The sequence below is a fragment of the Homo sapiens genome, chromosome 1 (assembly GCF_000001405.40).
Source record: "Homo sapiens chromosome 1, GRCh38.p14 Primary Assembly".
In the NCBI taxonomy this organism is placed as follows: domain Eukaryota; kingdom Metazoa; phylum Chordata; class Mammalia; order Primates; family Hominidae; genus Homo; species Homo sapiens.
In genome coordinates, this window is record NC_000001.11 from 78,270,893 (window position 1) to 78,284,103 (window position 13,211).

At 38.5% G+C, this 13,211-nt stretch overlaps 1 long non-coding RNA gene across 1 annotated transcript in view; it reads left to right on the forward strand.

Moving 5' to 3' along the window:
- The window catches only part of MGC27382 (uncharacterized), a 139,866-nt gene that overhangs the window by 41,294 nt on the left and 85,361 nt on the right, over nucleotides 1-13,211 (forward strand). The gene's annotated exons all lie outside the window — the stretch shown is intronic.

The window sequence follows — 13,211 nt, forward strand, 5'->3', positions numbered from 1 at the left end:
GTCCCATTCTCACTCAAAATAAAAGCTATAGTTCTGAAAATGGCTGGAAAGGTCTTATACTATCAGGACTTCTGTAACTTCTCAACTCCTTTCTTACTTCCCTTGCTCGCTCTGTTCCAACCACATTGGCCTTCTTGCTGTTCTTTGGGCATGCCTGAAATGTTCACGGCCTTTGCATGTGCTTTCTTTTTATCTGGACTGCTTTTCTTCTGGGTACCCCCCTGGTACCCCTCCAACTCTATCATCTGCTTCAATACTTTACTTATCTCACTTGTCCTCTGTGCTCTATAACATTGCTCATGGTTACCCACTTCTAAAAATGACTCTTGCTTCTGGACACCACATCCTCTTGGAATTATTTGTAACTGTTTGACCATTCCTTCCTTTTAAAAAAAATTTCAACTTTTATTCTAGATTCAGGGGGTACATGTGCAGGTTTGTTACAAGGCTCTGTAGCTTGATGCTGAGGTTTGGGGTATGAGTGACCCTGTCACCAGGTAGTGAGCATAGAACCTAATAGTTTTTCAACCTTGTCTCCCTCTCTCTCCTTCATCTTGCAGGCCCCAGTGTCAATTGTTCCCATCTTGTGTGTATGAGTACTTAATGTTTAGTTCCCACTTATGAGTGAGAAAATGTGGTCTTTGGTTTTCTGTTCTGTGTTAATTCACTTAGGATAATGGCTTCCAGCTGCATCTATGTTGCTGCAAAGGATATGATTTCATTTTATTTTATGGCTGTGGAGTATTCCATGGTATACATGTGCCACATTTTCTTTATCTAATCCACCACCGATAGGCACTTAGGTTGATTCCATATCTTTGCTATTGTGAATAGTGCTGCAATGAGCATATGAATGCATGTGTCTTTTTGGTAGAATGATTTATTTTCCTTTGGGTATATCTCCAGTAACGGGATTGCTGGGTCAAATAGTAGTTCTAGTTTTAGTTCTTTGAGAAATCTCTAAACTGCTTTCTACAGTAGCTGAATTAATTTACATTCCCACCAAGAGTATATAAGTGCTCCCTTTTCTCCACAGCCTTGCCAACATCTGTTTTTTTTTGACTTTTTAATAATAGCTGTTCTGACTGGTGTAACATAGTATCTCATGGTTTTGATTTGCATGTCTCTGATAATTAGTGATGGTGAACATTTTTTCATATGTTTGTTGGCTGGTTGTATGTCTTCTTTTGAAAAGTGTCTGATCATGTCCTTTGCCCAGTTTTTATGGAGTTGTTTGTTTTTTGCTTGTTGATTTAAGTTCTTTATAGAGTCTAGATATTAGACCTTTGTTGGATGCACAGTTTGCGAATATTTTCTCCCATTCTGTAGGTTATCTGTTTACTCTATTAATTGTTTCTTTTGCTGTGCAGAAGCTCTTTAGTATAATTAGGTCCCACTGTCAATTTTTGTTTGTGTTTCAATTGCTTTTGAGAACTTAGTCATAAATTCTTTGACAAGGCCACTGTCCAAAATCGTATTGGTTTTCTTCTAGAATTTTTATAGTTTGAGGTCTTACATTTAAGTCTTTAATCCTTCTTGAGTTAATTTTCATATCTGGTGATAGGTAGGGATCCAGTTTCATTCTTCCGCTGCATGTGGATAGCCAGTTAACCCAACACCATTTATTGAATAGGGAGTTTTTTTTCCCATTGCTTATTTTTGTCAGTTTTGTTGAAGATCAGTTGATTGTAGGTGTGCAGCTTTATTTCTGGGTTTTCTATTTTGTTCCATTGGTCTATGTGTCTGTTTTAGTACCAGTATCATGCTGTTTTGGTTACTGTAGCCTTATAATACAGTTTGAAGTTGGCTAGTGTGATGCTTCTGGATTTGTTTTTTTGGCTTAGGATTGCTTTGGCTACTTGGGCTCTTTTTTGTTTCCATATGAATTTTAGAATAGTTTTTTTCTAATTCTGTGAAAAATGACATTGGTAGTTTGATAGGAATAGCATTGAATCTGTAGATTGCTTTGGACATTATGGATATTTTAGCGATATTGAGTCTTCCAAATCCATGAGTATGAAATAGTTTTCCATTTGTTTGTGTCATCTGTGGTTTCTTTCAGCAGTGTTTTGTAGTTCTCCTTGTAGAGATCTTTCACCCGCTTGGTTAGACATATTCCTAGGTAATTTATTTTTTCATGGATATTTTAAATGGGATTATGTTCTTGATTTGGCTCTCAGCTTTAACATTAGTGGTGTATAGAAATGCTACTGATTTTTTACATTAATTTTGTATCATGAAGTTTTACTGAAGTAATTTATCATGTCTGGGAGCCTTTTGGTTGAGTCTTTAAGGTTTTCTAGAAATAGAATCATATTGTCAGTGAAGATAGATAATTTGACTTCTTTTCATTTATCAGGTCTAGGAGCCTTTTGGTGGAGTCTTTAAAGCTTTCTAGATATAGAGTCATATTGTCAGTGAAGAGAGATAATTTGACTTATTTTCCTATTTGGATGCCTTTTCTTCTTTCTCTTGACTGACTTCTCTGGCTAGGACTTCTAGTACTGTGTTGAATAGGAGTGGTGAGAGTGTGCATACTTGTTTTGCTCTAATTCTTAAGGAGAATGTTTCCAGCTTCTGCCTGTTCAGTATGATGTTGGCTGTGGGTTTGTCATAGATGGCTCTTATTATTTTGAGGTATGTTCCTTTGATACCAAGTGTTGAGGATTTTTATCATGAAGGGATATTGAATTTTATCAAAAGCTTCTTCTGCATCCGTTGAGATGTTCATGTGGTTTTTGTTTTTAATTCTGTTATGTGGTGAATCTCATTTATTGATATGTGTATGGTGAACTAACTTTTACAACCCCAGGAATAAAGCCTACTTAATCATGGTGAAGTAACTTTTTGATGTGTTACTGGATCCAGTTTGCTGGTATTTTGTTGAGGATTTTTGTGTCTATGTTCATCAAGGATATTAGCCTATAGCTTTCTGTTTTCACTGTGTCTTTGCCAGATTTGGGTATCAGGGTGATGCTGGCTTCATAGAATGAATTGAGGAGGAGTCTCTCCTCCTTTATATTTTGGAATAGTTTTAGTAGGATTGGTACCAACTGCTCTTGGTATGTCTGGTAGAATTCGCCTGTGAATTCATCTGGCCCAGGGCTTTTTTTGGTTGGTAGATTTTTTTTATTACTGTTTAAATTTTGGAACTTGTAATTTTGACCACTCTCTTGATCTCTTTCATGAGCTTGTCTTCCTCTGTCCGTCCCTTAACTGCCACTTGTCCACTTTTAGTCCTCTGGAATTCTTGCCACCTATTTATTTTCTTGAGCAATATTATCTTCCCTGAGGTTTTAAATTACCATTTATATGCTCACAAACTCCCAAATATCTATTCTGAGCCTAGTTCTTTCTCCTGATATTCAGATGCATAGGTCCCATTATCTGCTGAACATCTCCATCTAGGTGTCCCAGGTATACCTCAAACTCAACGTGTTCAAAAGGTCGTCATCTTCTTTATTACACTGGGTCTCTGTTCATGTTCTCTATCACAGCAGATGGCACCATCTAGATACTTTAGTTATAAGTTACTCTTGACTTCTCTCTCTCCTTTGCTCTCCACAGCCAACTAATCATCAAGTTCTGCTGGCTATACCTCTCAAATAGTTCTGACTTTTGTCTCTCCCTCTTTATGTTTATTACTGATAATGGGTCGAGTGATAGTTCTTAAAAGATAAATCCACACCAAATCCCTGGAACTTGTGTTCCTTATATGGAACAAGCGTCTTTACAGATGCCATTGTTAAGGATCTTGAGATGAGATTATACTGGATTTTCTGTGTAGACCCTAAATCCAATGACAAGAGAAAGGCAGAGGGAGAACTGTGGCATAGAGAAGGGGGGAAGATACAGACACACGAAGGAGAAAACAATGTGGAGGTGCAGACAGAGGCAGTGATTGCAGTGATGTGGGCACAAACTAAGGAAGCCAAGGAATGATGACAGCCTCCAGAAGGCAAAAGAGGCATGGAAAGATTCTCCTGTATGGGCTCTGCCAACAGCTTGATTTTCATTTCTAGTTTCTAGAAACGTGAGATTGTGAGAGAATATATATTCCTTGCTTTGAGCCACGTAGTTTGTGGTAATTTGTTATGGCAGCCACCGGAATGGAATGCACTGCCTTTGCCAGTTCAGAAACTTGTCATCCTTGTCTTGGATTAGTGAGAGAGCTGCCTAGTGGTTTCTCTGTCTCCAGTCTTAGCCCTTTTATGTTACATGTTCTATTCTGCACCCAGAGTAGTTATAGTCAAAACTCAATTTGGCCCTGTCCCTTCTATGTTTAAATCTATCTAATTCCCTCCACCTGTCATATAGTCTCTCTTCTCCTGTAGCTTCAATGCTTGTTTAGCCTGGAAGCCTTGGCCCCATTTTTTTTTTTTAATCACTCCATTGGTCCTGCAAATCCTCAAACATGGATCAATCCCACTATATACTTTCTCTACTTCTACCTTTAGGCTATTGGGAAAACTGATATAATTGTTTGGATTTTTTCCCTCTATACATTCATAGTACCCAGTCTCAGGTAAGTCTTCAAAATGGTCCAAAAATCTGGCCAGCTCCCTCTCCTAATTGTCCCCAGTGACTCTTCCAAACCTTCATCATTGCCTTCTAAGCTCTTCCACTTTGTTTCGTGTTGCTCCATTCCTTGTCCTTAATGGGAGAAACTTCAAGGTTCTCAGGGATAAAATTCCTCAGATTCCTGTCTCCATCCCCACTAAGTTTCATAGCTTTACCTCAGCTGTCTTCCAGTTTCTGAGAAAGACACCCCCCCCTCATTCCTTCTGTACTGTTGACTTTTTCTGTCCATGTTCCTGAGGACTCAGGTTATTATTTCCTCTTCTATTATATTTTTAGCTCTTTCTATGGGATCCATTCCCAGTGCTGATAAACATGCTGACATCTTTTTTGTTTTGAACAATACCAAGTACTCGACACTTTTAAAATTATGTGACCTGACCTGTTAAAATGAGAACAATTTTGTAGAGATAAACCAAGCTGTCTTAAAAAATGATACACCATCAATTGTCTTTGAAAAGAGTTCTGAACTTTTCTTTTTCTCTCTCTTCCATTTTGATCAAGGAGGAAAATAGACAAATTAGAAGCCCATGCTGAAAGTCTGCCAATGTTACCAGCTGCTTGCTGATAATGATTTTTCTTCTCCCCTGGCTGGAAGGAAGGGTAAATTAAATATCTCTTAGTGACAATCCCCTATCCCTGTCAGGCCGATTTACTCAACACTGGCCCCTCCTGGCATCATCTGCTGCTATATAAAGCATGAGTTTGTAACTTGTCTTTGTCCAACCTGGTCAGAAAATGTGGACTCTCATCATGGTCATACATGGCATTTAAAATCTTTTTCATTTTTATCTTCAATAATTTATAGATGGAAAATCCTAGGGTATTCATACTTCTAATTAAATGTAGAGCTTCTTTTTATGCAGTTGCTGTTTTTTTTTCTTTGAAGAAAATCGACTTTTCTCCTTTTCATATCTTGGATTGAATTCTTTTTCACCCTTTTCCTTTTCATGCTTCTCAGCTGAATTCCTGTGCAACATGAACTGCTGGCAGTGAAGCATTCCAGATGGAACCACCTATAGTCTTGAGGCGTGTAGCCTTGCCCACAAAGACAGGGAATTGGAGAGGAAAGATGCATAACCAGTGAAAACAAAGGTAGCAGTGCTCAGCTGTAATCTTTTAGAAGTGACAGTATTATACTTATATTAGAATTTTAACTGAAGAAAACCAATGGAAATTATAAATTATAATACAATTCTAATTTTCCTTTCCTCATTTGTTGTTTTTCAGATTCTTGTGCCATATTATTTCCTGTCACTGATAGAAAGTTTAACATTATATACTTATTGTTTCTATCAAAATTTGATTCAATTAAAAAATTTTTTTTTTCTATGACTGAGTGTGATAGACAGAATAATGGCCTGCAAAATAAGTTTATGTCCTAATCCTGGAGCCTGTGAGTCTGTTACCTTAGATGGCAAAGGCACCTTGCAAATGTGATTAAGATCTTGATGGGAGATTATCTTGGATTACGTGGGTGGGCCCAATGTAATCACAAGGGTTTTTATGAAAGGGAAGCAGGTAGCTCAGAGTGAGAGCGAGTCAGAGAAGGAGATGTGATGTTGGAAGCAGAGGTCAGAATGATGCCATTGCTAGAAGGAGCCATGAACCAAAGCACCCAAGCAGGCTCTAGAAGCTGGAGAAGCGAGGAACAGATTCTCCCTGAAATCCTCCAGGAGGAGCACAGCCCTGCTGATACCTTGACTTTAGCCCTGTAAGACCCATTTTTGGACTTCTCTAGAATTATGAGATAATACACTGGTGATGTTTTAAGCCACTAAGTTTGTGATAATTTGTTAAAGCAGCAATAGGAAGCTAAAATGCTGGAAGTTTCAGTAAAAAACACAACATGATTTTCATTCTTTTAACCTAAAACTTAGTGACAGGTCCTGTCCAGGGAGCATTGTCACTTTAAGAAGCTATGATAGTCTCACCAAAGCAGCTGGGGGTTTGCTAACCCAAAAGCCACAAAGACTGACTCATTGTCTTGTGGGTTTGATCTTGGGTCCCTCTCTCCCTGCCTTCTTTACTTCCCTCCATGTTCTCTGGCCACCATGCCTGGTCACTGACCTATACCCAGGGTTATGATCTAGTTTCTCACTATGATTTAGTTAATGAGCCTTAGAATCCTCAGCTTCTCCTCTACCTGGTTTGAAGTGATGCACATGCCAGTCCTTTTTGGCTTACCCTGCCTGGCCAATGTGATAAGATGTCTGACTTATACATACAGGCCCTCAACTCTTGTTTGGGCAGTGTTCAGATGCATTTGTTCCTGCTTTGGTTTGCAGATGTGCCTGAATGTTTGGCTCTGTTTGCCTGTCTATTCATCCATTCTTTAATAGTAACTTTCTGAACAGCTACTCTATGCAAGAACTGGAGTAGAAACTAGAGATGAATAGATGAATAAGATATGGTCTGCATCTTCAAGGAGTTCATAGTTCATAGAAGACCAACATAGAGAGGTAATTAGTAAAAGAAAAGATAAAAATATGTATAGTCTGTTACTGATCCTAGAGGAGAGAAGATGTTCTGGGGTAGTGCGAGTGGGGGAAACTTCCTAAAAGGAGTAGATGGCTGAGTGGGAAGTTAGAAAGAATGAGTAGGAATTATCCAGTGGCAAGGAGGTATGCATGGGGGATGGTGTGAATGGAGGAGATGGCACAAAGTGACAGGAGTTCAGAAGAGGTAACAAATCAAGCAAAAGCATAGGAAGCACAGGAGTGTGAAGAAGAAAGTTGCAGGGAGAAGATGGAGAGGTAGACAGGGGCCAGACCTCAGAGTATCTTGCATGCCCTGGAAGGGTGCTTCAACCCTAGCATTCTGGATGTTCATCTTATAATACATAAGATTCATTCATTAAACTCATCAGCACTGTTCAAAACCCTGGGGATCAGATGTAAACAAGACAAAGCTGCTGCCCTCTTGGAACCCAGTGTATCACAGGAGACAGATAACATGAGTAATCACAATGGTAATCACATTGTAATCACAATGAGAGGAGGCATTCAGGGTAGCTCACAATCCAGGCTGAAGGTCCAAAAAGATTTCCTTGAAGACACAATATCTGCTCGGGAGGCTGAGGCGCACACACACACACACACAAAACAATGTAATCTCTGAACTGAGTCTAAATAGATGGGTGGGATTACCCAGGATCTTTTTTTTTTTTTTGAGATGGAGTCTCCCTCTGTCACCCAGGCTGGAGTGCAGTGGCTCGATCTTGGCTCACTGCAACCTCCGCCTCCTGGGTTCAAGCGTTTCTCCTGCGTCAGCCTCCCCAAGTAGCTGGGACTATAGGTGCATGCCACCACACCCAGCTAATTTTTTTTGTATTTTTAGTAGAGATGAGGTTTCACCATGTTGGCCAGGCTGGTCTCCAAATCTTGGTCTCCAAGATCTTGACCTTAGGTGATCCACCCACCTCCACCTCCCAAAGTGCTGGGATTACAGGCATGAGCCACCGCACCCGGCCAAGGATCTTGTTAAGAAGGGAGACCTCTTTAGATCTCAACCTCAGAGAATTTTATTGCCTAGGTCTCAGGTAAACTTAAAAATCTGCATTTTACAAGCCTACCTAGTAGGTAGTTCTCATGCAGTTAGATTCATAGAAGGGTTAAATTTTTTTGCTTCCAGAAAATGAGCGTCACATGTTGGACTTCTATGTAACCTGATTCAGGAGGCTCAAACCATGAATAGCTTCATTGAGATGTGGTAATACTCATGATACTGAAGAAAAACAGTATTGCAATAACTTAGTGTTGTTCTACCCACAACTAGATGGCTCTTGAATGATTCAGAGGGAAACTTTGGATGGGATATATTAGAAGCAGTTTGGGAAGTTCCCTTTGAAAGGTCGAATGGTATGAGAACATGCTTCCATAGATGACTGAAGAATGGGTGAAACTTTCTTTAATTTCTCTACCAGCTCCCATCAACTTCCTGCCTCTGACCCCTAATGCTTTCCAAGAAAATGGACTCAGCTACTTAATCCTTAGGCAGGGTTGAGCTGAGGATACCCACGCTTCCTGTTTAGAATTAGCTGCTCTGAAAAACTTCCCAGATTCCAAATCATTGCCAACGTACTTAGATCTTTTTATTCTAAGATGCAGGGTAGTATTAAAGAAATTTATAAGTAAAATTTGAAGTCAGGCTTATCAGTGAGTATTTACATACTTTGTAAATATCTGAAGTATTGAATTGCTAGGTACTCAGCAAACAAACAAACAAACAAACAAACAAACAAACAAAATCCTGGTCCTGCTCCGTAGAAGTTCACTATCTAGTAAGGGAAACAGATAATATTTATAACAATGTAGTAATTGAAATGAGAGAACTGACAAGCTACTGTGCACAAGAGATTAGCCATTTGGCTAAGCCTGGAGTGAGGGCTTACAAAGAAATAAGCCCTCGGTTAGGTGGCTGGGAAGAAATTAGCTGGGAAAACAAGGTGAGGTTAAGGCACGTATTATTTCCCTCTCTTGTAGCCTTTCTTACCACAACATCTCATAATGGTCTATACACAGTAGATTTGTGGTCTGAGAGAATCATCATTTACATATCTTTATTAACTTTTTACTTGAGTGGAATGAAAAGATCACTTAGTACTGGATTGGATGACCCAAATCAGCAGTTTACTCAAGGTTTCTTAGTGAATCATGTTCAAAGCAAAATATACTTATTTATAAGAGCCTTGTCCTTTAAGGCAATACCCTGTCACTGTATTAGCTTTGTTTGAAGTCTCATCAGTGCACAGTTGGCTTTGGAATGCAATGTGGGCAGGATGCATAACCATAGGTGTGGTGGTCTATTTAGGACCAGTCTAAATGTTACAGAATGGTAGATGGCCTTGCTCAGTTCCTAGACAATCACAATCTCTCCCCATCTCCCCCGACCACATTCTTTTTCTTTTGACAGTTATTTACTACCCATCAAACATATTTACTAAACACTTTGAGAACCTGAAAAAAAATCAAGACTCTTTAAGAAGAAAGAATGCATGAACTTGGACAAAAATGATTAATGTGGGGATGTTCAGAGATTTTCCCCACAGCTTCTCTGCCTAATAAATAGAGTCCTCAGTTTATGTGAAGCAATCTTTTTCTCTCTCCAAATATTTCTTTTTGCAGAAGAGAAGCAAATTTGATGTACCTGGTAAAGTTCTCAGAGAGAAAAGAAAGGGCTCTTCTTCTGATGGAAGAAGAAGGCAGTGGAGGAGTGATGGAGGAATATTTCTCTTTGAAGGTTTTGGGGAGAGAGATGCTGAAATACCCCTAGGAAAAGAGCAAGTGAGCAGGAGAACAAAAGATTTTGGCAAGTGATTTCATGCGTTTTCTGTTGGAATTCCTTTGAGTAATATGAGTAAACCATGGGATTTGTTAATTACTTTTTATTTATTTTGGCTATTGCACTGTGCTTCTTGGATATGATGGCGCTTTCAGACTAAATTACATTATGGGTACATATGCATCCTCATGTGATTCTATAAATACAGCATGTCCTAACCTACCTGTGGGTTCCAGGTTAAGAATGTCTCTTTTGGTCTAGATTACTGAAATAATCTCCAAGCTAATCTTCCCATCACCACTTTTCCTCTTCTCTATTTTTTTCTGCCATACTACTCTTAAAATACATATTGGATTATGTCATTTTCTTGCTTAAATCCTCTTAATGGCTTTATTTTCGTAAGTGTTATGGACTCCATTGTGTCCCTACCAAATCCTTATGTTGAAGTCCTGAAACCCAGTACCTCAGAATGTGACTGCACTTGGAAACACATTCTTAAAAGTGGTAAATATAATAAAATGAAGTCATTAGTGTGGACTCTAATCCAATATGACTGGTGTCCTCATAAGGAGAGTTAGGACACAGATGGGTACAGAGGGAAGACCATGTAAAGACACAGGAAAGCACTGCAAAGAAAATAATCAGCAAAATAAAAAAGTAGCTTTTTCCCCCCAATTCTCAATGGGAAAAAAAATTTGCAAACCATTTATCTGATGGGTGGTTAATATCCAAAAATTATAAAGAACACATACAACTCAACAGTATAAAAACAAATAACCTAATTAAATTGGCAAAGGACCCTAGTAGACATTTCTCCAAGGAAGATTAAAAATGTCCAACAGATGAAAGGGTCCTCAACATCATTAATCATCAGGGAAATGCAAATCAAAATCAAAGATGTCACCTCACATCTGTTGGATTGCTATTATCAAAAAGTCAAAAGATAACAAATGTTGGTGAGGGCGTGGAGACAAAGGAGCCCTGTACACTGTTGGTGGGAATGTAGATTGGTGGAGTCATTGTGAAAAACAGTATTGAGATTTCTAAGAAAACAAAAATAGAACTATCATGTCAGACACTGAGAACAATGAGTATAAAAACTTGGAAACATCAGAACAATCCTATCATCAAGGAATGTCTAGAAGGCCATAATGGCTGGCATTTAAAGAAGAAGAGAAATTTGGGCAGGACATAATCATAGGGTTTTGTAAGACATAGTAAAAAATTTGGATTTTACTTACCGTATTAGTTTGCAGGGGTTGCCATAACAAATTACCACTGTGGCTTCTACAACAGAAACTTATTTTCTCACAATTATGTGGTTTTTTTTTTCTGAGGCTCTTTCCTTGGCTTGTAGGTGGCCATCTTCTCCCTGAGTCTTTTTTTTTTTTTTTTTTTTTTTTTTTTTTAGAATCTGGAGCTTACTTATCATGATCTTTTTTTTTTTTTTTATCATACTTTAAGTTTTAGGGTACATGTGCACCTTGTGCAGGTTAGTTACATATGTATACATGTGCCATGCTGGTGCGCTGCACCCACTAACTCGTCATCTAGCATTAGGTATATCTCCCAATGCTATCCCTCCCCCCTCCCCCGACCCCACCACAGTCCCCAGAGTATGATATTCCCCTTCCTGTGTCCATGTGATCTCAATGTTCAATTCCCACCTATGAGTGAGAATATGCGGTGTTTGGTTTTTTGTTCTTGCGATAGTTTACTGAGAATGATGGTTTCCAATTTCATCCATGTCCCTACAAAGGACATGAACTCACCATTTTTTATGGCTGCATAGTATTCCATGATGTATATGTGCCACATTTTCTTAATCCAGTCTATCATTGTTGGACATTTGGGTTGGTTCCAAGTCTTTGCTATTGTGAATAATGCCACAATAAACATACGTGTGCATGTGTCTTTATAGCAGCATGATTTATAGTCATTTGGGTATATACCCAGTAATGGGATGGCTGGGTCAAATGGTATTTCTAGTTCTAGATCCCTGAGGAATCGCCACACTGACTTCCACAATGGTCGAACCAGTTTACAGTCCCACCAACAGTGTAAAAGTGTTCCTATTTCTCCGCATCCTCTCCAGCACCTGTTGTTTCCTGACTTTTTAATGATTGCCATTCTAACTAGTGTGAGATGGTATCTCATAGTGGTTTTGATTTGCATTTCTCTGATGGCCAGTGATGATGAGCATTTTTTCATGTGTTTTTTGGCTGCATAAATGTCTTCTTTTGAGAAGTGTCTGTTCATGTCCTTCGCCCACTTTTTGATGGGGTTGTTTGTTTTTTTCTTGTAAATTTGTTTGAGTTCATTGTAGATTCTGGATATTAGCCCTTTGTCAGATGAGTAGGTTGCGAAAATTTTCTCCCATTTTGTAGGTTGCCTGTTCACTCTGATGGTAGTTTCTTTTTCTGTGCAGAAGCTCTTTAGTTTAATTAGATCCCATTTGTCAATTTTGTCTTTTGTTGCCATTGCTTTTGGTGTTTTGGACAGGAAGTCCTTGCCCATGCCTATGTCCTGAATGGTAATGCCTAGGTTTTCTTCTAGGGTTTTTATGGTTTTAGGTCTAACGTTTAAATCTTTAATCCATCTTGAATTGATTTTTGTATAAGGTGTAAGGAAGGGATCCAGTTTCAGCTTCCTACATATGGCTAGCCAGTTTTCCCAGCACCATTTATTAAATAGGGAATATACACAATAAAATTTATTTAAAAAAATAAAGACCCTATTTAATAAATGGTGCTGAGTCTTTATTTTTTTAAATAAATTTTATTGTGTATATTTAAGGTATACAACATGATATTAGGCGATGCATAGAGATTGCAAAATGGTTACTATCATGAAGTAAATTAACTATCATGAAGTGAATATCCATCATCTTGTTATCCATTATGTTTGTTTTTGTGGCAAGAGGAGATAAAATCTCACTTTGCAAGAATTCCAAATACAGCCCAATGTTATTGCCTATACTCCTGATGTTGCACATTAGATCTCTAGAGTTATTCATTCAACCTATTTGGTATGATACTTTGTATCCTCTGACCTACATCTCTTCAATTCCCCCTCCCATCACCACTGTTTTACTCTCTAACTCTGTATATTTTACTTTTAAAAACGTTTTTCTATGTCTGGCTTATTTCACTTAGCATGTCCTCCAGGTTCATCCACGTTGTGGCAAATGACAAGATCTTTCTTTTAAAAGGCTAAATAATATTAGCCATGGTTCCTTTATCCAATTATCCATCAACAGACACTTAGGTTGTTTCCATCTCTTGTTCCTACAGTAGCTTGTCAGAGTTCTCTCATGTTGATTATCACATTGTTATAAATATTATCTGTTT